The 27,817-nt window shown below is 41.4% G+C and overlaps 1 long non-coding RNA gene across 2 annotated transcripts, besides 1 other annotated feature; it reads right to left on the reverse strand.

Moving 5' to 3' along the window:
• On the reverse strand, positions 1-27,370 carry LINC02803 (long intergenic non-protein coding RNA 2803). 2 transcript variants are annotated; one of them, XR_001738304.2, is made up of 5 exons: positions 26,661-27,370; positions 22,522-22,923; positions 14,752-14,975; positions 10,151-11,341; positions 1-5,368 (listed from the first exon to the last, which is right to left on the reverse strand). It is a non-coding gene; the product is annotated as a long intergenic non-protein coding RNA 2803 (long non-coding RNA). The 2 variants fall into 2 exon arrangements; XR_007066741.1 differs by lacking the exon at positions 1-5,368 and having other exon boundaries at positions 10,967-11,341; positions 22,522-22,651.
• Positions 22,576-22,763: a silencer, noted in NCBI's record as "fragment chr1:175885507-175885694 (GRCh37/hg19 assembly coordinates)". NCBI's record gives its function as "represses an EF-1alpha promoter that drives an FKBP-Casp9 reporter gene in an ReSE screen in K562 erythroleukemia cells {active_cell/tissue: K562}" and the evidence as "EXISTENCE:reporter gene assay evidence [ECO:0000049][PMID:32094911]".
• Positions 27,371-27,817: the final 447 nt, after the last annotated feature.

Raw genomic sequence — 27,817 nt, forward strand, 5'->3', positions numbered from 1 at the left:
GATCCTCCTGCCTCAACCTCCGTCAAGTGCTGGGATTACAGGCATGAGCCACCATCCCTGTCCATGTTAAAGATTTAGAGGAGCACTGTGACTTGACCAAGAACACAGAAGTTTCACAACCTCCTTGGACCCTCACTGCCACCCAGATGTCTGTGATCATCAGTCATCTCTTGACCTCAATTCCCTTCCTCTTCTCCCTTCCCCTAACATAAAAAGAGTCTAAAATTTGTATTAACTTAAGACAGTTCTTTAGGACACGAGTCCACCATCTTCTCAGTTTGTTGGCTTTCCCAATAAAAGTTGCTTTCCTTGCCCCAACACCTTGTATCTCTACTTATTGGCTGTTGTGTGGTGAGTAGTATGAGCTTTGGACTCAATTATAAAAGAATCAGGGTGATGCTTGAATGAGAAAAGCAAAGGATTTCCCAGGAACCTCACAGCAGAGCTCCATCTATGTCTCATTAGTTAAAACTGTGTTTCCTGGCCACCCCTGTGGGAAAGGCGGCAAGTAGGAAGTGAATTGGAAATGGGGTTTGGGTAAGCCAAGCCACATTATTTGTCATATTATCCTATGTCCACTTTTATTCCTACTAGGCCTAACTGAGGCTCCTGGTACCTGAAGAGTAGGTTAACAAAAGCTTAAGGTGGCTGCCCCTTAAGGAGGAGGCTCAGGTAATCCGAAGACCTTTAAAAGAAAACTATTTTCTATACTCAACACTTTAAACACAAGACACACAAGTTTTCCCCATCAAGAAGTTCACTAATTCTCTGTGAACACCAACTAGCTGACTTACAATTTAAGTCATTTCTGACACTGACTACCCAAAGTTAGCACAGACCCCACAGGCTAAGGGCTCAGTCCCACAACATTGTCCCCACTTCACACAACAGTCACAAGTCTCAGGCCTCCAGTACTTCTGACCAACTAAGCTACAAATCATGCGTTCCCATGACTTCTGCTCAGGTTTGATAATTTGCTATCAGGGCTCACAGAACTCAGGGAAACACTTTTCCTTACTGTTACTGGTTAATTATAAAGGAAACAGATGAGCAGTCAGATGAAGAGGCATATAGGGCAAGGTCCAAGAAGGTTCCAAGCACAGGACTTCTGTACTCATGGAGTTGGGTTGCACCACCCTCCCAGCATTCACCAACTCTGGAGCTCTTTGAACCCCTTTCTTTAGTTTTTTTTTTTTTTTTTTTTAACCAAGGTTCCGTTACATAGGCATGGTTGATTAAATCTTTGGTCATTGGGATTAAGTCCATCTTCAGCCCCTTGCCCCTCTCCAGAGATGTGGGGTGGAGGCAGGAATGGTGTCCAGGGCTGAAAGTTCCAACCCTCTAATCACAGGGTTGGTTTTTCTGCAACCAACCCCCATCCTCAAAGAGTCACCTCACTTGCACAAACTGAGGTATGGTTGAAAGGGGCTTATTATAAATAACAAAGACACTCCTCTCACACCTATCCCTCAGAAAATTCCAAGGGTTTTAGGAGCTCTTGTGCCTTGGACACGGATGAAGACCAAATATATATTTCTTATTATATCACAATATCACAGCCTTCAAGACATAAAGATATGAAGCCGCAAATAGTAGGAAAGCAGGTGGGTGGATAAAAATGTTAAATCTGGTCCTGCCTCAAACTGAACTGTGTCAGTGCTCAGTGGTGAGCCAACCTTGTCCTCATCCCCAGATGAGGTGCCCAGCAAATGTGTCCATGAGCAGGAGTTACAGATGGAAGCAGGTCTGTAACGACCCACCTCCTTAGGGTTCCTTCAGCACTTCCATAGATGAGGAAAAAAATGACTTCTGAGGCTTCTCAGCCCATTGTCCTTCAAGCATCCATTCCAGACACCCAGAAACAGTTAGTTCCTCTATATTCCACAGAGATGGAGGCAGCACACACTAGAGGCAGGCTGTGCGTGAGGCGAGCTGTAAGGCACATGGGGTGTTGTAATCCCCAGTCCTGCCCTCAGGGAGCTTACAGTCTAGACCAGCACTGGTCTAGACTTTACCCACCAGTAAGACAAAGCATGGATCTAGGAAAGCCAGAAGAGCCCATCCAAGAAGCGACTTGATTTTTAACATACAAGTAAATTTTTGTTATTTGTCACTTTATGGTTTTAGCATTGCTTAACTTGAATTGCATATGGTAGGGGGTGGGAGACACCTCCCACTAGACCTCACACCTTCAGTAGAGTGCTCCCCAAGAGCAGGCACTGTATTTATTCTCTTTTTTTCACCAGCACCTACTGTTTGAGTGTTAGGACTCAAATGCCTTCATACAACCCTGCTATATCATGTATGTCCTTGGGGCACAGAAATTCTTTGTAGCATCTTTCTCAACCAGGTTGCAAGGTATCAAGTTCGTGAGCTGTGTCACAAATGAGTAGTTAGTAAAAATAGTTTAAATATCCAGATTAGCAACAATTTTTTAAAATTATGAAATATTACAAGCAGGATGGGGTGGCTCACACCTGTAGTAATAGCACTTTGGGAGGCCAAGGTGGGAGGATTGCTTGAGCCCAGGAGTTTGAGACCAGCCTAGCCAACCTGGCAAGACCTGGTATCTACAAAAAACTTAAAAAATTAGCTGGGTGCATAATCAAATGTAGACTCTTCTTTCAATAATAGTAAGTGGACGCAACAGGAATGTAATATGTTTTTTAAATGGGTGTTTTGAATTACTTCTAAGAGGAAATATTTTAATGAAACCAATAAGCTATTGACAAAAAAAAAAAAAAATTAGCTGGGCACAGTGTCATATGACTGTAGTCCCAACTACTCAAGTGGCTGAGGCAGCAGGATCCCTTGAGCCCAGGGGGTTGAAGCTGCAGTGACCCATGATTGCACCATTGTACTCCAGCCTGGGCAACAGAGCAAGACCCTGTCTCAACAAAACAAAACAAAACAAAACAAAGATATATTTCAGACATACACATAAAGGAACTTAGAGCCCACTCAGCCTAGTGTGCATAATAAGGTCACTTTTATCACTACTGCTCTGCTACACTTCCTTAGTGGGTCAGAGAGAGGAGAGCAGCTCCAGGTGTGCAGAAACAGATGTCTCTGCTCCCAATCCAGATTCAGAAGACATATATGGGTATCTAAGGTGGTCATGACTTCTTTTTTTATTGATACATAGTAGATGTACATATTTTGGGGGTACATGTGATAATTTTATACATTCATGTAATGAAATAAAGGTAATGGGAATATCTACTATCTGGTCATCCCTTTCTTGACTTAACAATGGGTTTGAATCCAAACTCATCATTAATAATGGCCTTAATGATGGGTTTGAATCCAAAGCTTGTAAACTGTCCTGCTCCTTGACACCCTGGGAGTTATAAGTCTAGGCAGAGCTAAATGAATACTAATCATCTGCGCCAGGAGTTATTTGTGTTTGGCTATGTTTTTAAACAACCTTTTTTCTCTAAAACAGGCCCTACCTGAGAGATCTTGGGCCAGTGCTCAGAGGCCCTTTCCCTGATCTCTAGGAGGCAGGGATGGGTGGAGGCATGAGAGTGGAGAAGGTGTGGTAAAAAGTGTGTGAGTCTGGGACCCTGAGGGAGTGGACAGATCTGAGCTGGAATTCTTCCTCTGCAATTTCTAAAGGACCAGAAGAAAGGAAGACAAAGCCAGTCCCTGCTGAAGGGCAGGTGGGCAATCATGCACCCCTGACTCTTCTTGTCTCCGCCCTTACCCTCACCCCCAGTGGCAGATGAGTGAGGCTGGAGTGGACAGTTCACTCAAGGGTAACCAACTCACATTTTGATTGATTGGTGCCCCTAACATGGACAGAGAGGTTAGTTCTTAGCCAGGTCTGTCAGATTCTCCCTCTTCAAACTGGAACTCAGAAATCCTACCCCCACCAGCCAAAAATTAAAAAATGCTAGTGTGCAGGAGAAGCTGCAGCCAAAAGGATCCCTGAGGGAGTGTGAGGGGGCTGGGCCCAGGCCCTCTCCCCAGAGTGGATGGAGGACCGGGAGGGAGCAAGCTGTGGGCCTTACCCTGCCTTGGCTCCACCAGGAACAGCTGACCAGGGGTGGGCTGCTTCACAGCTCACCTTCCAGGAAGACACACAGGGCCAATGAGGGGTCTCAGGGTGCTGAGGGAGAAGATCCTCCTAGCAGGAAGATTTTAATCATGCTTCTGCTCTTTCAGTAACTAGCTGTTATCTGTGGGTAAATGCACATTAACCTGCCCAGGTTTCATCTATGAAATGGACTAACTGAACTTGATGATCTTAATTGATACTTTCAGTTAGTGCAAGGTGATTTGAGAAAAGAAACCAGGAAAAGAGTGTGCATGTATGCATGTGTGTTGGGGGCAAGCAGTTCCTTTTGTTAGGGTGGTAAGAGAACCCTCTTGAGGATGTCACATTGGAGCTGCAGGGAGGGAGGAGACAGCAGCATCCTCAGAGGAGAGAGAGTGGTGTGGATCCAGTGTCCAGCAGTCTGGCATGGAGGAATATACTTTTTGGTGTGTGAAACTGAGAGTGATACACACAGGAGGCAGGGAAATACTGGGTAGAAGAGGGTGGTCCCAGCAAGTGACACACCCTTAAGCCTGAAACTGCAGCCCAAAGTGAGAGCATGCATTCCTGTTTTCTCACCCGAATGTTGCCTTTTCCAAAACCACCCTGGCTCTCCTCTCCTCACATCCTGCACCCATAATAACCCCAGGCCCCAGAAGCAGAGCCACAGAGGAGAAAAAAGAAGAAGCAGCCAGGTGTCGGAGAGAAACAGCTTGACTTCAGAGGGAGGGCTTGATGGCAGGACTTCAGAGACAGAGAAGAGTTCGGCTGAGGACGGCCAAACTCCAGGGGAAGACCACCTTCCCACTCCATCCCCTTTACAGCTCCCATACCGCTGAGAGCCACTTCCACTGCTCAGTAAAATCCTCCACATTTACCACCCTTCAATTTGTTCACATAACCTGATTCTTCCTGGATGCTGGACCAGAACTCAGGTACCCAGAGGGTAGGTGCAAAAAGCTGTTACCCTGACCCTCCACTGAGCTGTTAAACACTTAAGGTGTCCATGGATGGCAAAGCTAAAAGATCACACTGTAACACATGCCCTCTGGGGCTCCAGGGGTCACAGGGGTACCAGATGCTGCCATGGGGCCACAGAGAGTTCTACTCCTGCCAGCACCCAGAAGCACTCGTCTTGGCTCCTGCACCCACTCACCTGTGTGCTCCCCATTCCATGAGGGGTTGAGAGCTGCAGGCTGAGTAAACAGGTGAACATCTTTGCAAGTCCTGCAAAGGGGTCAAGGGAATGATCCCATCTGAAGAAGACATACATCCTCATTCACAAAATTGTTTTGAGTACCTGCAATGTGCCGACTACAACAGTAGGTGCTGGGGAAGAAAGTGAAACAAAAGAAAAGAATAAATACGGTGTCTGCCCTTCGGGAGCACTTCACTGAAAGTGTGAAATTTGGTGGGGAATATGGCTGCGGGGCTGGGGTTTATCAGTTCTGGTCCCTCCCAGACTAAAACTGATGCCTTCTCATCTCTCATGAAACTATCAGCAACTCTCATTTCCCAAAGAGGATACAACCAAAAGAGGAGACTACTGGCAATATAGGTAGGGACAGACTGAAATGTAATTTAATCATTCAGGTGGCTGTGAGAACAGAACACACAGAATTCCCAAAAGGAGAAACCTACTTTGGAAGCAACTATTTATTTAACACATTTTATGGAACAGCTACTGTAGACCTGATGCTGTTCTGGTTACTGAGAGTAGAGTAGGGAGCAAAAGAGACACAGGGCTTGCTCTTGTGAAGCTTATATTCCAATGTCAGGAGACAACACATTGCCAAGAAATCATGTGCGTATGCACACACTAGATGGGGACACTAACTATGGAGGAAGATGAAGCAAGGTAAAGGAGACAGAGGGAGGATGGGGGGATCTCACATAGAATGGCCCCAGGAGGTCTCTCTAAGAAGGTGAAGTGTGAGCAGAGACTTGAAGGATGCAAGGGATCACCCACGGCACTATCTGATGGAAGAGTTTCTAGGTAGAAGGAGCAGCCAGTGCGAAGGCCCTGAGGCAGGAGCTGCCAATCCACCAACATGGTTAATCCAACACTTCTGCATTCTGCCTGCTCCCTCATCTTGAACAATAGAAACTGCCCTTAAGGGTTATTATGCACATAAAATTATTGTGAAACAAATATTTCCCCATTCAATTAAATTGAAATTTCAGAGATGCTCAGCCTTCTTTTTGTTTAGTTTTCAAGTGTCAGTGACTTCCAAGTAAAGGGCAAGTTCACTTCTCCCACCTGCTCTGTGTCCTCAGGATCTCTAATAGGTGGCTACTTATGTATGCAGTATCAGGGTATCCTTAGGGAAGCCCACTACTTTTGAAAGAAGTCAGAGAATGAACTGTTTTGTTTAAGAAAAAAAATTATCTATTCATAAAGTGAATCATCACCCCTGATTCATCCCTGGTGAGGGCTGGGAGCTTAGGAATGGCTTTTGAAAGTAGAACCTGGAGGGTCCAGCTGTGTTTGGTGGGGTGAGAAATTCATAAAGGTCTCTGTCCTCCCAGGACTTAGGCAGGTAGGCGAGAGACCGGCCAGGTCCAGTGGGCTTGAGCTCATCTAACCAGATCTTGGTGTGGGGATGGTAACTTGAGGCCGCTGCCATTCCTTCTGAACCATTGTGTTTAGGGAAAATTCTTAGAGATACTTTGTAGTGCGTTGTGGTAAAGAGTTTGGATTCAGGGATCAAACTCACTTGGTTTCTTTTTTGAAAAAAGATAACAGCATGTACTTCACAGGGCTTTTTAAATTGTAGTATAACATATATACAGAAAATTGCACGTAATCCAATTGCACATTGTGCAACTCAGTGAGCCCTCACACATTGAACACATGCACTTTATTGGTGGAGTCTTTGTTGTTTTTGAGAGCTAAATGAAATAATGCATGTAAAGTATTCAGCACAGTGCTTGGCATATAGGAAAGCTCAATAAACAATTACTATGCAAATGCAAAGCCTTGTTGTCTGTGCAGAAGTTTAGGGTATGAGACCCTAGAGGTTCCCCTGGGGCCTATCTGTCCTTTACTGTCCACTTCCTCTCAACCCTCTGGGTTTCAGAATGAATGAAAAGGAGGAAAAGAAGGGACTCAGTAATATTTACTTGCCTGAATGAGACCAAATGCTTTTTAAAAGCCTCTGCAAAGTAGCTATCTGTTCTTGAAGCTGCAAAGCCCTGCCTGTAATGAGTTACATCCAAGGACTTGTGGGCAGAATAGTCCATTCTTACCGATGCAATAGATTTAAAATGCAGTCATGAATAGGAGTTGCTGGTTGGCTAGGTGAGGTTACACATACTGAGCCTCCTCTCTCCAGGTGAATCAGGCAATGCAGATACCAAGCAGCCTCATGAGCATCCCAGGTGCCTAAGACCTGGGGGCCCAGAATGGTCAGCACCACATATGGGGGCTTGTGGAGAACCTCCCTGGTCCTCTTGGGAGCTGAAAGTGGGTAAGGCTGCTTTGCTTGCCTCACACCAAGTGGCTAAAGTGAAGGGGCTGAAGCAGAACTGTCACACTCCTCTAGTCTATAAACAAACCCAGTCTGTAAATATTTATGTGCCTCAGTGCTGTGACACTGTCATAATCTCTCATTTTCCCCCCTCTCAAGGGCAGCTCCTGCACAGGCTGGCTGCTGCATGGTCAGAAGAGAGGGAGGGGTGTTAGGGGAGGTAGGGAGGGCTAGATATATTTCTTTCTCTTGCCTAAAGAGAGCAAGACTTCGATTCAAACATTTACCTCTCTTCTGTCAAGCACAGGCATACAGAGATTTAAAGGCGAATCAGTTGCAGGTGGAGTCCCACAAGGGCTCCAGTGTGGTAAGGACACGTGCACATACATAAATCACTGATCCAGGCAGACTAGTGATACCTTTAGTATGGCATGCATCAAAGTGCTGTGGATGTATGTGGCAGAGATTGATTTCCATAGTGGTGGTGGTGGTAGTGCAGGGGCGGGGTTAGGGAGCATGTGCTATTGATATGGACAGGAGAAAGGGAAATACTGGGTAGAAGAGGGCAGTTCCCTGGCAAAGGCCTGACCCTCAAGCCTGAAAACCCACAGCCCTAAATGGGAATAGGCATTCCTGTTTTCACACCCAAAAGTTGTCTTTTGGCCCACCACACCCCCCATCCTGTACCCATATAAACCCCAAACCCCAGGCTCCATGAGCAGATGAACAGAAGAGCAGAAGAGTGGCAGAACAGCGTGGCAGAGAAGGACAGAAGAGAAGGAGAATCTGAACATCGAGAGGAGTTCGGCTGGGGTGGTGGGAGGGGAGATTGGCCGCTGGATGGTCAAACTCCAGGGGAAGATCATCTTCCCACTCAATCCCCTTCCCAGCTCCCCATCCATCCCACTGAGAGCCACCTCCATCACTCAATAAAACCCCTGCATTCACCATTCTTCAAGTCCGTGTGAGACCTGATTCTTCCTGGATGCCAGATAAGAACCTGGGTACCAAGAGGGCTCTGAGGTGGTTAACACTTAAGCCGTTTGTAGATGACAGAGCTAAAAAAGCACAGTGTGACATGCACCCACTTGGGCTTCGGGAGTCCCAAGCACCCACCCCTAGATGCTACCGTGGGGCCGGAGCCCAAAAGTGCTTGCCCCAGCTCCTGCACTTGCCCATCAGTGTGCTCCTCATCCTGTAAGTGGTTTGAGCATGCATGGCGGCCGAACAGACGAGCCACACCCATCACACGTCCTGCAGGGTAGGTCAGGGAACTCTCCCATTTCACTATGAAATCTTGGGAGGTTTCCATGGTGAAAGAACATTCCTGGAAGAGTGCTTAAGTTGTAGGCAGGCTTACCAAAGGATATTCCAGGATGTTCTAGAAGCTGAAATCTCTTTTTTTTTCAACAAAAATCTGGGTGCCAACTATCTGCCAGTGCTGAGTACTAGATGCTTAAATGTCAGAGGAAGGGGCAGTAGAATCAGGCTAGAAAGGTTAGGCTTGCCCATTTTATGAGGACTTTAAAAATCAAGCAGAGAAAGCAAGTGTCTTTAAACAAAGTGGGAGAGGTGGGGCAAAGATGCACCAGTAGAAGATAATTAAATGGATAAGACCCTTTCCTCCAAGGGACCTCAGCCTGATCCTTTGGAAAAAAAATCCTAAATAAGGGAAGAAAGAAGATACACAGACACAGTGTCATTTCAGGAGGAGCCATTGTATTTCTGTGGAAAGCCAACTTTGCAGAAGGTTAATAACACAAATGAAACTGTGGCTGCAGTAGCTCTCAGAGGAGGCACAGAGAGTCTTTCATCAATCCTTTGGACTATAGGAACTACAGGGGCTTGGTCCTGCCACAGAAAGATAAAGTGCCTCACACCTAAGGTTGGCAGAAGGAGCTGGACAAGGCTCTTCTGGTGAACTAAGCAGTATCTGAATACACACACAGAGAGAAAGAAAACAATGATGCAGTGCTCTTCTCAAGTCATCTGTTGACTGATGTCCTTAGGGGGTGGGGATGGGGGCTAGGGGTTGGGGGTGGCTTATTAAAGCACAGATAGGTTTGATTAATCACTGCTGGCTACGCCACCATAGGGCTGTTTGGAGCAGATTTCCCACTTTTTTTTTTTAAACAGGAATAAAACAGTAATACCATAGAACACAACAGAAGGCATACTTGCTGATGCTTTGGGGTAGTGTGGGGGAAATATAATTAACCAGAAATCTTCTCCACAAAGGTAGTAGAGAAACAAACCACCTTTACTGTTAGTTTTCTTTTAAGTTTATCCTTCACGCTCTTATGCAAGCCACTTTTATTATTGAATAACCATAAACCAGGATGTGATGGGTCTCACAGGCAATTGCCAAGAGATTCCAAAGACAGAAAGGAATCTCATCCCCTTACATAGGCAGCAGATACACCCCAGTGCATACGTGTTCTCAAGATTAACAATCACTAGTCCTCAAGTTAGAGGACTTGACAACACCTTTTGTCACACAGAGTTTGTCCTAACTTTATTTTGGTAATTGGGGAGACCACCTGTGTTGGCTTTATTTGGAGAAAAACAAACTTCCCATATCTTTATGACAGAAGGTAGTTTTGCAAATTGGAGCAAGGAGCCCACCAAGTTAGGCTCTTACCTGAGATAGGGACACTATCTTCCGTGATGTTTGCATTTCAAAAAGATGACTCCCAGGCCCTGCAGGAAACATTCCTGAGTTGAGAAACTTATTTAGCCATAGAGATTTATACACATTTGAAAAGAATAGAAAAAGAAATTCTGAAAAGAAAGAGGGGAGATATTTTCTCTTATTTTCAACAGGGAGAGTTAAGCCTCTTATTTTTAATTTGTATTTGCCCTTACAATCACCTCCCTGTGTTACTACAAAAATCACATTACAATCTCCTAATTATTTGTACCTTTTTCTGGGCAACTTGCAGTTGCCTGAAAATTCAGCAAATCTATAGTAAAATGCAAACAATGCAATTACCAGAATCACAGTATGATGAATTTTAAAATTCAGTATAATATTTGCCTTGGAGGAATAACCTTTAAATATAACAGGCATTCACTTTTGTTTATTCATCTGTACTGGAATTGGAGAGAACTTGCATCCCATTGTGAATCTAGTGACATTAAAACTGTCTTTTGCAGTTTCTGTTTGTCTATTCATTAGATGCCTTTCTACATCATCCTTCCAATCAAACCAGTTAACTTTTCTTGGTGTCAAATTTAGAGCTTGAGTGTCTGGATGCATATTTATTACTTTCATTATTATTGAACAGTACTAGTGAAAATGACCCCACTTACACTCTGCTAAAAATGAAATTGTTGGACTTGTAAGTCCAGATCATGTTAATCCTGGGAGCATAATTTAAAGCTGATTGGTGATGTGGGGTTATGGGAACATTTACTGGGAGTGCAGAAGAAAAAAGAAGTGCAACAAATAATACTGTTTGTTTTCTAATAAATATAATTCTCAAAGTAATTGGAATAACCACCGTCATGAACAGAACAGCCAGGCAGCCTATAGGAATAGTAATACATTTTCTAGAATACTTCTTTTCAGTTGAGTAGAAAACTTCAGTTTTAGGTCCTTTGTAGAAAGCACAGTCCACCTGTCCTGTGGTGCTAGCTTCACATAGGAAGCCTGGATTCAGCAGTTTGCCTTTTGCACTGATAGCCTTATGGGTCATCGACAGCACTTTAAAGGGTCCCTCCCAGCATGGTGACAGCCCACTTTTATGTAGATGAAGTCTCCTAGTCCAGAGGGGTGGCAGATTTCCTCTGGCAGGTCTTTCCAGATCTTTCTGACTTTGTCTCAGGGTTTCTGGGGAGAAGAGAGAAGCTTGTTAAAGTACTGAATACGATTATGAAAGGATTCAGTTAAGTCAGGCATATCATATGGCCTCAGACTCAAATTCATAGGCTTCCCAAATATAAGTCCAAAGAAGAGATTCCATGTTTGTTGCAGGGGTTATTCTATTTTTTAAATTCTAATTTGTAATAAGGCTAATTGATAAGGCTCTAGGTCAATTTAACCCGATAGATTGCTGAATCTTATCCAAGGAATGTTTGGTTTTGATTTTTGGTTTGCTTTTTTTGCATTTATTTGCTCTGCTTGTGCAGAAGACTGGAACTTTTAGAGACCTGTAAACATTTGCATAATTTCTCAACAAGAGTAAAAGTAAAATGACTTCCTCTGATTCAATATGCTTTAGTATCCCAAAAGTGGGAATTATGTGTAATAGGAGAGCCTTTATCACTGCCTGAGCATCAGCTTTGGAAAAGGAAAAGACCTCAGGCCATCTAGACCTTACACACACCGTAAGTAGACAAAAGCACTCTCTGTAGGCATTAACTCTATGAAATCAAATGCCACCAGGTTCCTCGTAAAGCTGGCCAGGGAGAACTTCTTCGGCTTACCTTGGGAGTGGCCTGTATAGAATTCTGCTGACAAAGAGCACATCTCTTTTCCATACGTTTTGAATACTTTTCCCTTTTTGGTAGGTGTAGAAAGAATTTAGTGTCTTTAAATTCCCTCTTTTATTCAGGTGATTTTGTTGATGACATGACAATACTAACCAAGCAAATGCGTACTGTGGCATAGGAGTTAGTTTGCTAGGTAGTTTCCATAGTCGGTCAAATTTCATTTAGCCCCTTTTATAATCCTTTTGTCTATTTTCTTTTACAAAGGATTGTTTTAAAAATGAACAAACGTTTCTCATTGTGTTAAAAATGAAGCTTTTTAAGTTTGGAGATTGCTGTGTTTTAACAGCAGCTTTTGAAGCTTTGCTAGCAAAATGAACTACCGATACCTGAGCAGGCAGTTGTAAAACTCCTAATAAATCAGCTACCAATTGGATAGGAGGTTTTTTTCAGTTCTATTCCCTCTATTTAAAAAATTGTTTGCTCTGTTGCATGACAGACACCAAAGACATAGTTACTATCAGTGTGACTATACACACACACACACATATATATGTGTGTATACATATATATGTGTATATGTGTGTATATATATACATATATATATATACACTTTAAGTCTGGTTAAAATGGAAACTTTAGACAAATTAAATGATTAATTAATTAACAGAGTTTAATTGAGCAAAGCATGATTTAGGAGTCAGACAGCCCTCAGAACCACGGTAGGTACAGAGCGACTCTGGCACTGCCATGTGGTCAGGGAGGATTTCTAAACAGAAAAAGGAAAGTGAACAGAAAACAGAAATGAGGTACAGAGATAGCCAGATTAGTTACAGCTCAGTGCTTGCTTTATTTGAACATGGTGTGAACAGTTGGCTACCTGTGATTGACTGAAACTCGGCTGCTGTAATTGGCTAAGATTCAGCTATTTGTTACAAGAGTAGGTTATAGTCTGTTTACAAATCCAGTTAGGTTACAGTTCACTTTATATGAAGAAACTTTTAGACCAAATTTAAATATGTAAGGAGGCAGTTTTAGGTTAAACTTAATTTAACAAATCCTCTCTTTAGGCGATTGATGTCACTCTGTCGCTATCATAAACGTTCTTATTTGGACTCAAATCCCACTGGGAAATAGCAAAGCAGTGGAATTTGTAAGGTGGGAACAAGGACTTCAGGTTACTTTTTTGTAAGGGTTACTCCAGAAAGGGCTTTCTCTCTCTTTCTCTCTCTCTCTTTCTCTTTCTTTTTGATAAGGAGTTTCACTCTGTCGCCCAGGCTGGAGTGCAGTGGTGCGATCTCGACTCGCTGCAACCTCCACCTCCCGGGTTCAAGTGATTCTCCCACCTCAGCTTCCCGAATAGCTGGGATTACAGGCGACTGCCACCATGCCCAGCTAAGTTTTGTACGTTTAGTAGAGATGGGGTTTTGTTCTGTCGCCTACGCTGGTCTTGAACTCCTGGGCTCAAGCAAAAAGTGCTGGGATTACAGGCGTAAGCCGCCGCACCGGGCCAGAAGGGGCTTTCTTATGCTAGAGTCTCCTGTTTCAGGAGAGAGACAGAAAAAAAATAACCGTAGTCTGCTTTGGGATCTATCTGCTTCCATAGTTTCAAGTTTCAAGTTTCAGTTTGATTATGTCACATTTAGCATGAGTGACTCCATGGACCAGAGATTCTATTGCTGCAGTGTAGGTGGCAAGGGCAGTCTTTTTCTGATTTTTTCTCTTTCTTTCTTTCTTTCTTTCTTTCTTTCTTTCTTTCTTTCTTTCTTTCTTTCTTTATTATTATACTTTAAGTTTTAGGGTACATGTGCACAATGTGCAGGTTAGTTACATATGTATACATGTGCCATGCTGGTTCTGATGTTTTTAGAAGGCTCAGTCTCCAGGTTCTAGATCATAATGGGTTTCATTGTCTTCAGTTAGTGCATCATGAAAAGCTTCCTTCATCTCGAAAAAAAAAAAGTGCACTTTGGCATAATGCATTAAAGATTTGCAGCATTTAGTCATTTCAGAGTTTAGGAGCAGAGGATACATGAGGTCCTATTATTAGGGGCACAAACCTTTCAGTGACTATTTCATAAGGGGTCAACTTATATTTTCCATTGAAAGTGGATCTAATTGTAATCAATCTGCAATACCATTGACCAAGGAAATCCAGCCAATTCAGTTAACTTTGTCTAATGCTGTTGTATCTGTAAACTTTATTTAACTGTTTTACAACTTGTCCAGTGAAACAAATACCTCTATCATTGGAGATTTCTCCAGAATGCCCCATGAGGGAAACACATTTCCTAATAACCTCTTAGCCACTGTTATACCATCAGTCTTCTTGCATGAAAAAGCTTCTAAACATCTAGAAAACATGCACTGAAAATGGCAGAGAAATAAAATCCCTCTATAAATGTCCAAATGGCACATCAGGTAGCAAAAACCAGAAGTTTCTATTGTCTTCCATATATACAAATTGCAGAGCTTTTAATAGTGGAGGCTTTAAGGATGTAAGAGGGACCATGTGGTTATCCAGGTTCTCCATGAGTCCACATTTAACAACTAATTTATAACCTCGTAAACACCAATTTTGTTTCTCCAATACAGGTGCATAGCACTGTTTATTAGATGAGTTATCAGAGGTAATTTGGCTTGGACTATGGAGTTTATTGAAACTGCAGATCTTAACAATTTCATTATTGGCTTATCTAGCATGAAAATCTGGCAAAGTATTTCCTTGGTATTCAATTAATTCTTGTCTTGCTTGGATTAGCAGTTTTATAAACCAGTCAGTCTCTTCATTAGAATTCTGGGAATTCTTACCCAGCGCAAATGATGTCAGGGTCCTTTCTATCCTTTCCATGAACGTTTTAGGAGACACAATACTTTAGCAATTTACTTGCTTCTGAAGAGCTTTCAGAAAATGCATCAGGGCTGGGCACGGTGGCTCACACCTGTAATCCCAGCGCTTTGGGAGGCTGAGATGGGTGGATCTCTTGAACCCAGGAGTTCAAGATCAGCCTGGGCAACATAGTGAGACCTCGTCTCTAAAAAAAAAAAAAAAAAAAAAAAAAGGGAGAAAGAAAAAAGAAAATGCATCAGAATTAAGCAGTTAACTGTGGAAACAACTTAAAATAGTCATGGTTAAAGACAAAAATGACAAATAAATTTGGTTATTTCTGTTGCATAATAACCATAATTATAACCAATAACATAACAAGGCATATCAGAATTTTAGGAATCTCTTATAATTTTGAAACATATATTAATAGCATATCCATAAAAACATAACTTGAAGAAGGTTAAACATTATTTCTTATCTGACAATGTTTCTCATGTAATTTAACATGTCAAATAAGCCTGTTTATGATCCCTGTTTTGGATGCTGCAGGCACCCACTGTAACATCCCAAAGTTAGTGTGAGGTCAAAATGACTTAATTTTGAATCTGAAATTTGAATTTGGGAAGCCTGTCAAATACATCAAAAGTATAAAACACTTAATCAAAGTAGTATCACATGTCACTATAAAATAATAGTCATTCTTTTAGTCAAAGTGATAATTAAAAGATTCTAAAAGCAAAAACCTTTACTCTTTGATAGAGAGGAGGCTCAGTTTTCCAAATAATCCGAAGGCCTAATAAAGACAGCATAAGATAGAATCTGTCTCTCTTCTCTTCCCCTTTTCTTTTTTGCAGTTTCCTCAAAAGGTGAATAAAAATATTTTACTGACTCTTATTCGTACTACATAAAATTCTTCTTTAAGAGAAACCAAATTTTGCTATTGTATTAGTGTATTATCAACTCTAAAGTTAATTTGACTAAAACCTTACAAACAAATTCATCCAACCTCAGGCAGCTTTTGAACATACAATATAAGATTTTCATAAATCTTTTTTAGCCTCTCACAAACTTTTTCTATTTTTTCTTTCCCCAAATTTTTATACCCATGTAGTTTTATCTATATCATATTTTATTCCTTCAATTTGAAACAAACTTGAAATAACTTCTAAACTAGACAAAATTATTTTTTTCAACATATACACATCTTCATGCCTTTACAACTTTCCTCACTAAAAACATATCTTCCTTTTTAAAAACAATACATTCTGTATATTATATCTGGTAGTTTTATTGACATATATTAACTTTAATTTTAACTCTTAATAACCCTAATTTCTAGTGAAAACCTAGGAAGTAATTTTGAACTGTTTTATATCAGTATTTGTAGATGAAAATCATTTCCTAATGTTTTAAGAAAGATGTTTCTTCAGTTTTTCTTGTTTATTAACAGATCTAAACATATTTAGCTTCTCTATACTATGTAAAAATAAGATGCCAAGATATATAAACTTAAACTTAGGTTAAATAATTAATGTTTCTATATTTTAACTTACTTAGAAATAACTCAAACATTTTATGACTATCTATTGGTTAATTTAACAGATTAAAGATTTTTAATTACTGAAAAGAATTTTTAAATTATGACATAGATACCCTCCCTAATACCTTCTCTAATCATCCTGGGTCCTAAGTACCCATGTGGCACCCAAGGCAGTTCTATAGTGAAGGGCTCATCTGGGTCTTGAATTTACATAACAGGTATAGAGCTCAGGATAGATGACAACTGCGAAGATGACACCTGGAGGATCAAACCCCTCCCGGCATGGCCAGCTGGCAACACTGGTTCAGGGAGAATGTGCCATTGGAGGTTGGCTCTGCTTTGCAGATAGTGGTCCAGGCACTGAGGACATATTCCTAGGCCTCACCATGGTCACCTTGTTACCAGCAGTGAATCCATGTGGGTCTGCATCAACCTCAATTCTTGCCTCCTCAGAAGAAAGAATTTGACTCAAGGGCATAAGGCAGAAGGAGAGACAGAGGCAAGTTTTAAAGCAGGAGTGACGTTTATTAAAAAGCTTTACAGCAGGAACAAAAGGAAATAAAATACATTTGGAAATACTTGACCCTCTCTATTTGGAAAAGGGCCAAGGAGATGACTTGAGAGATCAAGTGCATGATTTGACCTTTGACTTGGGGTTTTATATGTTGGCATACTTCTGGGGTCTTGCATCCCTTCTTCTGTTATTCTTCCTTTGGGTTGGCTGTCCACATGAACAGTGGCACTGCTAGCACTTGGAAGAGGAGCAAGTGCAGTGTGTTTACTGGAGATGTATGCATGCTCACCTGAGGCATTCTTCCCCTACTAAATGTCCCTAGAAGGTCATACACCAGTTAAACTCCGCCATTTTGCCTCTTAATGCACGCCCAACTCCTGAGATCTTATCAGGAAGCTGCTGATCACCAGTTTCAGGTTTTTCTATCTATAGACTGCCTTTTCTTGGCACTGGCTGAAACCAATTAGTATTTTAGAGAGACAGTTAACAACCACCTGACCATCACTTGATAGTCACCTGACATTCCTGGTTGGGGGAGGGAGGGCTCTCCTGCTCTGCTCATATCTTACTAGCTACCTATTGTAACAACCTGTCCAGATCCCAGAATCCAGAGGCTCAAAATAAAAAAACAAGCTCGCAGTAAGACATATACAAGGCTTCAGTGTAGCCCAGCATCCATGCCTTACAGTTTTAGCTAACAGACAAATTAAGCAAATGTCAAAGATACCAGTTTCATAACTTTAAAACATGTCATGGAGACAACATAAACCTGTCTGACCAGTAGATCCAGGCAAAAATGTCTGAATTATATTTAACTGACAATTCTGAGGCCACTTCTATTTTATTTTACCAATAATTTTTAAACTAGTTTTCTAAATCAAATATTATTACATACACATAACACATATAGACATACAGACACACATAACAGAAGCAAATTTTATAGCTTTCATAAAGATTCTCATTTGCCAGCTCTCAAATAGTTTTTTTATTTTCCCCATTGTGACAATCAATCTTCCAATTATCTGTTCCATTGTTCTAAGCAATCATTAGCTAGGCAACCCTAAATTTGCATTTCTAATAGGATGACTCTTAAGTCAAATAAGGTAGGAAATGTATATCTCAAAAATCAGAGAACTGAGACTTCAGACCTAAATATTGTACTATAATTTGCCCAAACCAAGGGATCAGGATATAGGTAAAGGCCTAGTTAAGACAAGATGGGAAGAAAAAGCACCTTAAACAAAGGTAAGATTTGTTTTATAAATTTAAACCAATGATAAGAGTTTCTAGTGACTCAGTCCTCCCTCTTTTCCAAGTGCACAGATGCAGGCATTCTTACAAATGAAGATTTCCTTTATAGATGTAACTTTTATTTACAAAAGCATTTCAAAGCAGCCAGCTAAATGTCAGAAAGGTATATTTTGGAGAATGATTTAGTTCAATAGGCAGGTTTTTTTTTTCTTTTTTTAACTTAGCTACTGTTTCTTCACTAAAATTACTAAGTTCAGGGTGGAGTACATTGAGAAATAGGGCAAAGAAAGCATTCTGTACGTCTGGACTCAGCACAAATAGCTCTGAAAAAGCAAGTCTACTTTACCTGAGGCCCTACCTTTTATAAACCCTTTATCCAGGATAGCTTTCTTTTTACATTTGGGGGTGGAATAATTATTAAGCCAAAATGTTAGCAGATTTCATTTTTCCTATCAATTCATTGCCTAAGCTTTTTATTTGCCTTTTATAAAGGTCTTTTAAAAGAGGTAATAAAAACATTGAAATCTTTTCAGAAACTTCTGCACATAAATAGGCATCCCTGGGTTAGCCTAGTTTGGGAGCTTTCATTTTTAAATGCACTTTTTAAAGTGCAATGTTTTTCATTTGGAACATTCCACTGTAATTTTAAAATATCTTTAGTAACATTTCACCATTTTTGTAAGCATTTGCTGTTTCTAGGGCCTAATACTTATACATGTAAATGTAGGCATAGTCAGAAGGGGGAGTATTCAGTTCTTCAGAAATTAAGGATTCCATTTTTACCTTGACCATTTAGATCCCCTTGATCAACTTAGCCAATGAATTTTCCCCTACCTAACAGTGCAAGAAAAACAACAATAACAACAACAACCAAGGGGATAGAACACAAAAAATCTGAAAAATTTCTGGAAGCCAAAAATTAGACCCCCTGCAGTATTGCGATTTACTGACAGTTCCTGTCTGACACGGTCAGACAGCCAAGACAACTAACTGGATGCAAGCAGTTAATTATCAGATCCAATCTAATCCTAGACCCAGTACAGATTTTGTTGTAAACTCCAGAACACAGTTTGGATAAAAATGTGCTCTAACAAGCTCAGGTAGCTCAAAACACAAATCCATGTAGCTACAGAATCCAAGAGAGCTTACCCATGATTCACAGTTGCTGTGAGAAAACAATGAACAAAATAGGGCCAGCAGGTACCTTGTTTGGTTACTTGATGCTCCTGGGGGTCACTAGAAGCTGTATTTCAGATTCTACTTCTGACACCATCTATTAAAAGAAAACCTTTGGACAAATGAACAGAGCTTAATTGAGCAAAGGACTATTTGTGAATCAGGCAGTCCCCAGAACCAGAATATGTTCAGAGCAACGCTGGTGCTGCCGTGTGGTTGGAGAGGATTTATGGAGAGAAAAAGGAAAATGATGTACACAAAATGCAAGTGAGGTGCAGAAGCAGCCAAACTGGTTACAGTTTGGCATTTGCTTTATTTGAACACGGTTTGAATAGTTGGTCACCTGTGAGTGGTTGAAGTATGGCTGCTGTGATGGGCTGAGACTTGGCTTCTTGTCCCAAGAGTAGGTTATAGTCTGTTTACACATCCAGTTAGGTTACAGTTCACTATGTATAGAAAAGCCTTTAGGCTGAACATAAAATCTGTAAAAAGGCAGCTTTAGGTAAAACTTAATTTACCAGTCCATAACTAAGAATTGGAGCTCTAGTAACTGCTGTTAACTCAGCTGCTTGTGTTGATTTAATTCCAGACAAAACATAAGCTTCCAAAATTTCATGAGAAGTCACCACACCACAGAAAGTCTTCAGTCATCCTTTCTTAGCCCAGGACCATGACTCAAATCTGCATTTTGAAACTGGAAGTCTAATAAATCAGGCCAGGGCTTAATATCTTCCATTACCATTGTTCAGTCATGATCATCTATTTAATCAGAATCTCATAAGGGGGTAGTAGGGTTTAGGAGATTGCACCTCCCAAGTACTATGTTAGGACTACCTAATAATGCTTGCTCACAGTTAGTTCAATGGCATACTGACAAATGCTAGGCTTTATGGACTTGTAAGATTGCTGTCACAGCATGTGGGACATGCAAATAAGTCATGTGACTCAAGGTAAGACTTTGGGCTTTTCCAATAAGAATGCTGGCTACCTCTTCCTCTTGCAGACACCCAGGCATTCTCAGTGCAGTGGCTCCTAGAACTGATAAATAAACTATTGCCCTATAGTTCAATCCCAACTTTTAAGCTAATATTTCACTAGCAGCACCTTTATTTTCATAACAAAATAAGTGGAAAGGTTTTCAAAATTGAGAATCCTCAAGACTAGGGGAGAAGTTATAGCTAATTTCAGTTGTACAAAAGCCTCCTCAGATTTTAAAGGCCAGAGAGAGTTATCATGCAATTGCTCATCGAAGGTTTTGCACACTCAGCAGAAGTTGGGATTCATTGTCTTCAATGTCCTACTAATCCCCAAAATTGTCTCAATTGTTTCTCTATAGAAAGCTGTTTGATATTCAAAATCGGTTGACTCTTAGACTGTAACACTTTACAGTCTTCAGCTGACAATAGATGCTTTAATACATTTTGTGTTGCTCTTTAGTTTCTGAGGCTACCAGCCAATCATCTACACATTGATTAATTATAGATTCCTCTGGTGGAACAAATTTATCTAAGTTTTCCTCAAAATAACTAGAGAAAATAGTAGGGAGGCATTATTTGTAGGAATTATTTGCCACAGATATTGGGCTCTTTCGTAAGTAAAAGCAAAATACATTTAGACTTGCCCACTAGAGGAACAGAAGAAAAAGCAAAATATAGACTAATCACAGAAAAAAATATTTGTAGATGACAGTACCAAAGTTGGAATAGTTACAGGGTTAGGGACCACAGAGTTAATGGAACAGTAAGTTTATTTATGTCTCCAAGATCTCATGCAAATCTGTATATCTCTATGAAACTTACCTTCCTTTTTCACTAGAAGTATGGTAGTATAACAGGGTGAATGTCCTTTTTAAATTATTCCCTTGCTGGCCAGGCTCAGTGGCTCATGCCTATAATCCCAGCACTTTGGGAAGCCAAGACAGGCAGATCACCTGAGGCCAAGAGTTTGAGACCAGTCTGGCCAATATGGTGAACCCCTGTCTCTACTAAAAATACAAAAATTAGCCAGGCACGGTGGCACGTACCAGTAGTCCCAGCTACTCAGGAGGTTAAGGCACAAGTATCACTTGAACCCAGGAGGTGGAGGTTGCAGTGAGCTGAGATCACGCCACTGCACTCCATCTGGGCAACAGAGCAAGATTCTGTCTCAAAAAATAATAAATAAATAAATAAATAAAATAATTTCTTGTTTTCCTTCTTTTTAAATAGAGACAGATCTCCCTATGTTGCCCAGCCTAGTCTCGAACTTCTGGGCTCAAGTGATCTTCCTGATCCTCCTGCCTCAGCCTCCCAAAATGCTGGGATTACAGGCATGAGCCACCATGCCTGGTCCCTTTTCTTCTATGAGGAACATAGTAACCATCTCAGGTGCTCTTTTGTTCAAGGAGCTTCACCAATAGGCTATCTGGAGTACAAAATATAGTAGCCTTTAATTTGCAGAGTAGGTCTCTCACCAATAGGTTTATAGGAGATACAGGAGAAAGTCAGAATGAAGGTACCTCAGTAAGAGCACCTGTCTGTTTGGGAATCCAAGAGAAAAAGGAATAAATGGAGGCTGATCCAAAGTACCAACAACTTGTACTAATCAGTTGCCAGATGGAAAGCAGGAATTTTCTGAGGAAACTGCAGAATAAGTAGCACCAATATCTACCAGAAAAGCCAAGGATGGATGGGGTTCAGTAAAAGTCCTTGACATAGATGGTTTACCACTTCCCACCTCTGAGATACCCCCAATCTGTCAATTTTGAGCCATTTGCCAACTATTTCCTAGTTGAGGGTTTCATCTTTCTAGGCTTTCCTGACTCTCCTGTCTCTGCAATTTTGGTATCCTCCCGAGTCTCTTTCTATAGTCCTTCCAATGTCCTGGTATTTTGCAATAATAACATTCAGTTTTCTCCTGTTCCTTTGCTATATTTATACTTTGCCCGGTATAGGGATTATCCTCCTTAGTAATAATTCTCACTGAGTAGCCAACACAGCAGTCTTTAATCTCTGCTTTTCTTCTTTGTCTTAACCCTAAACTGAGTAGTGGCTGCTGCTAGGATTTGAATAATAGTCTGTCCTTGCTATCCTAACACCTTTTGCTTAATTTGGGCTTGGTTAGTCAGCAAGAGAGCAGAGGTAAAGGTTGCCAAGATTAGGGAGTGATTTTATCTCCTCCTGGGTCCATGCTAGTAAATTCTGAGAAAGCCTCCAAAAACTGCTGCTGGAAATCAATGGAGGACTCATTCTTCTTCTAGGTACACCATTGCAACTTCTCCCAGCTTACCTTTAGTGGATTGCTTCTAGCAATCGCTCTGGATGGATCTCTAACGTGCTCAGTTCCGTAGTTGTAGGGGAGTGGTAATCAATTTCCTCTGGTCACAGTGCCACCTTAGGTGGTGGATCATCTCCAGGTCCTCAAACAAGCAAAATGGGCTGGTTGCAGGATTACCCACAAGAGTCAGTGCACATCCCTATGTGCAGGGCTGTAAACTAAAAACAAGCTGTGGAGCATTTCTGCAAACTTTTGTGTATCTTCCCAGGGTACGGGAAAAATCCTTCAGATGGATGATATCGGCAGGGGAGAAGAGCACATAGATGCTTAATGTTTCCTTTGCGCCCAAGGGGCCTGGGGAGCTTCTCGGTGGCCTCAGATTTGCTGGTGATCTGAGTAAAAAGGGCTGGTTTTCTATGCATTAAAATAGGAAAAAGGGAGGATTATATGGCACCTTGGTTTGTTTTTCCATACTGGTGTTTATGAACCTAATATCTTTTTGTTTGTCTTTTTCCAAGTAACTCTCCATCCTGCTGCCTTCATACAGGGACACAGTCTCTTATCTGAGTTCTCAATTATTCCAGGATATTGATTATTTATCTTCATCTTTTTCACCTTTCTAGCTAAATGGTGTGTGGATGAGAAGAGATCCCTGGAGGTGAAATCTGGTCTAAGGCAAGAAGTGGACTTGGGGATAGGCCAGGGGGCAGTCAATTCTACGTCCTCAAGCAGGGCAGGTAACTCATTTACAGCTGGAAAAGTGACATCCTTTTTTCTCTTCTCATGGAACCCCCTAAACAGGAAAACCCCTTGTCTAAAAGCTCATCACACATCCCTTTCCAGGAGTCTGAGACAAGGAGGGATAAAGTGAGGCAGCAGGAACAGAGGGAACAAGAATAAGCAATGGAGGAGGAGGTTTCTGTGAAGGAGAAAGTGCTCTTAATTTTTGTATTTCCTGTTCTATTGTTTTTTTTTTCAGTCTTTCTCTCTGGTTATCTAAATCACTTTTAAGTTTCCTCTTAGAATAATATTCATCCCACAAATACCAGTAACTCATTTGCTTGACATAAAGCCCTTCCGAGAACTTCTGCAAATGCGGTAATTTATCCAAATCAAAAGAGCTATCCCTAGGCCACTGCAGGACTAGGATCTGATGTGTATATCCATTCCAAATGTGTGAGAGATATGTTAGCCATTCAAGAGAGACCTACAGGCAACATTCCTGGCATCCCATATTTTTCTACCATGAACCTAATGGTGATCTTGATGAGATTTTAGAGCCTGTACTTCCCATGTTTATTCAGTAGCAACAGCTTGAATTTGGTATCATCCAGTTAGTATTCCAAACAAGTAGAGAGGTAGATGGGAGACTTTTTAAAAATCAGGGTCTCTTACCTGACTCTGTGTGGACACAGACCTTCAGTTGTCCACTTTATTCAGAAACTGCCAGTCATCTTACCTTCATTCACAAAAATTGAGAAAATAAAAAAACCAAGATCTTGTCCAACCCAGAAATCCCCTCCACAAAGGTAGTAGAGAAACAAAACACTTTTTTTAAATTTAATTTTTTAAATAATTTTTTTTTGAGACAGAGTTTCTCTCTTGCTGCCCAGGCTGGAGTGCAATGATGCGATCTTGGCTCACCACAACCTCCACCCGGGTTCAAGCGATTCTCCTGCATCAGCCTCCTGAGTAGCTGAGATTACAGGCATGCACCATCATGCCCAGTTAATTTTGTATTTTTAGTAGAGACGGAGTTTCTCCATGTTGGTCAGGCTGGTCTCAAACTCCCGACCTCAGGTGATCCACCTGCCTCAGCCTCCCAAAGTGCTGAGATTACAGGCGTAAGCCACTGTGCCCAGCCTAAATAATTTTTATACAAAAAATAGAGACAGGGTCTTGCTATGTTGCCCTGGCTGATCTCAAACTCCTGAACTCAAATACTCCTCCTGCCTCAACCTCCCAAAGTGTTGGAATTACAGGCATGAGCCACTGCACCTGGCCATAAAACATTTTTATTTTTATTATTGAATAACCGTTTATTTTTATTATTGAATAACCATTAAACCAGAATGTGATGTGCATCACATGCAATTGCTAAGAGATTGCAAAGGCAGAAAGGAAACTCCCCCCTTGTACAGCCAAGCAGATACAACCCAGTACATTCATGCTCCCAAGATAAACAATCACTAGTCCTTAAGTAAGAGACAACACCTTTTGTCACACACAGTTTGTCCTAACTTTATCTTGGTAATTGGGGAGACCACCTGTGTTGGCTTTATTTGGAGGAAAAACAAAATTTCCATATCTTTATGACAGAAGATAATTTTGCAAATTGGGGCAAGGTACCCACTGAAGTTAGGCTCTAACCCTCCCACAGGAACTCGGAGATAGGGACACTATCTTCCGTGATGTTTGCATTTCAAAAAGATGACTCCCAGGCCCTGCAGGAAACATTCCTGAGTTGAGAAACTTATTTAGCCAAAGAGAAGATTTATATACATTTGAAAAGGAAGGACAGAAAAGTTCTGAAAAAAGAGTTGAGGATTGCAGGGCAGGGTTGATGGGGGTGTGTCTTTTCTCTTATTTTTGTTTTCAAGAAGGAGAATTAGGTCTTCTATTATTTTCTAAATTTTTATTTTATTTTGTTTTGTTTATAAAGACAGGGTCTTGCTATGTGCCCAGGCTAGCGACAAACTTCTGGGTTCAAACACTCCTCTTCTCTCAGCTCCCCAAGTAGGTGGGACTACAGGTGAATGACATCACAGCCAGCCTTAGGCCCTTTATTTTTCATTTTTACTTGCTATCACATTAGGGAGAGAAATATTTTACCTGTTTTCCTCTACCTCTGAATTAGGATCAGATTCTCAGATCTGAAAGGTACCAGAAAGAAAAATTCCATCCAGGCCCCTGCCTTCGGGCAGCTGAATGTTGAAATCATTAGAACCTGTAGTTGTCTGGTCACCTCTGATGATCTCCAAGGATGGAGATGTCACCCATTTCCATTGGTAGTAACTTCCAGTTTTTTAGCAACCAGCTAGGTTCATAGTTCTTTCTTTTGCCTAGCTGAAGTCCTTCCTGCTATAAATTAATCATCAGATAAATAATACCATAAACTAATTAATTTATCATCAGATCTAGACAACACCTGAGTGTCTTAACAGACAGTGTCACCATGTGCACACATTGTCCTCCTTGAAGATAGCTCTCAGCTGTGCCCCTTGACATCTACTTGATCAGGGGAAGTAAACTACCCATATGACTCAAATTTTTAGAATGCCAGTCAAATCCTACATCCATTATACAACCCATTTAGCACTCCAGTAATTCTGCCTTTTAAACTTTTTTTTTTTTTTTTGGACAAAGTTTCACTCTTGTTGCCCAGGCTGGAGGGCAGTGGTGCAATCTCGGCTCACTGCAACCTCCGCCTCCTGGGTTCAAGCGATTCTCCTGCCTCAGCCCCCCAAGTAGCTGGGATTATAGGCACCCGCCACCATGCCTGGCTAATTTTTTTGTATATTTAGTAGAGATGGGGTTTCACCATGTTGACCAGGCTAGTCTTGAACTTCTGACCTCAGGTGATCCACCCACCTCGGTCTCCCAAAGTGCTGGGATTACAGTTGTGAGCCACCACGCCCGGCTGAACAATCATTTCACTATAACACATGCAGCAATTAACATTTTTGAATGTGTTTTCCTCATTTGTTTTAAGAAAGCATAATACTTACTTCATAGGATTATTATATTATGTATAAATTATTTTCCATGCGGTATATCTTACCTGCCTAAAGCTCCATGAAGGGATCATGCCCTTCACTATTTGATATCTTCCATAATGCCTGGCAGAATGACTAATACAGAGAAAAACTAGGCCTAGTGGGGAAGGGAAAGATATATTCCATGGTGACAGATTTCAGCTCAGTCTAGGAAAAAGCTGTCTAATAATTAGAACCATTCTGCCATGAGTGTCTCAGGAATTACTGGGATCTCAATGGCTATCAATAGTTAAGTAGAGACTTTAAGACTGCCCATCATGGTGAAATATGAAGCATGTCTGCAATGAGTAGGATATTTAATTCATTGGTTGCCCTGAAGAGAGTTTGAAACAGGTTTTTTTACTCTGAAAGGAAAAAAAGAAAGTGATTACTTACTGCAATGTACTGAGAGCTGGATTTCTGTTCAAGTTCTTGACGCTTCTTTCCCATCTCTCAGCCCCAGAGGAGAGGTGAAACTAATGTCAAGGTTCCTGGCGGATGTTTAGACGATGGAGAAAAAGCATGCACAGTTAAATAAACACTCGAAGTCACTATACTGTCTACCATCACATACCAAGGGGAGGTGGGGAAAGGGAGGGAGAAAGAGGCATTCCACTTCTGTCATAAAGATTTGTTACAATGCAATTAGATAACTAGAAGGGAGTAGATGCTGGAAGATAAGAACACCTCCCAGAGATTAACACACTGGGAAGACCACTTTTGGCTTCCACTTGTGGCTCCATAGATATGATCAATATCGGGGTTTTTCTTGACAAACAACCTTATCTCTTGCCTGCAATCTCAATTCACTTTCCCTTCTTCAGTCTTGTTGCCTGCATATAAGAAGACTAGTAGAGGTGATGCTGGTTCAGCCCCTGCCACCTAAGTCCTACTCTCCGGTGAGAGAATGCACTGGACATGTGGTAGGAAAGGGGATATTTCAGAAATCTTAATTTGAGCATTTTCCTAAACTAGCTTTTCATTGAACCTGCGATGATGGCTGATATGTTTTGGCTTTGTCTCCACCCAAATATCAACTTGAATTGTATTTCCCAGAATTCCCACATGTTGTGGGTGGGACCCAGGGGGAGGTAATTGAATTATGGGGGCCGGTCTTTTCCATCCTATTCTCATGGTAGTGAATAAGTCTCATGAGATCTGATGGGTTTATCAGCGGTTTCTGCTTTTGCTTTTCTCATTTTTCTCTTGCTGCCTCAATGTAAGAAGTGCCTTTTGCCTCCCGCCGTGATTCTGAGGCCTCCCCAGCCATGTGGAACTGTAAGTCCAATTAAACCTCTTTTTCTTCCCAGTCTCAGGTGTGTCTTTATCGGCAGCATGAAAAGAGGCTAATACAATGGCCTACGGTGGGTCAGCTCACACAGAAATAGGCGGATGCTATGTTCAAACAGCATAAGGAATAAAGCCATTTTATACGCCTGTTTGAAGGGAATAAAAATGTTTTGTCCCCAAACATACTTCTTTGACATATTTTGACATGGTTGTTCAGAGAACTTGCAAAGAGAAGTAGTCCTGCAAAGCTGTCTTGTGTAGGG

This window comes from Homo sapiens, chromosome 1 (assembly GCF_000001405.40).
Source record: "Homo sapiens chromosome 1, GRCh38.p14 Primary Assembly".
Taxonomy (NCBI): Eukaryota; Metazoa; Chordata; class Mammalia; order Primates; family Hominidae; genus Homo; species Homo sapiens.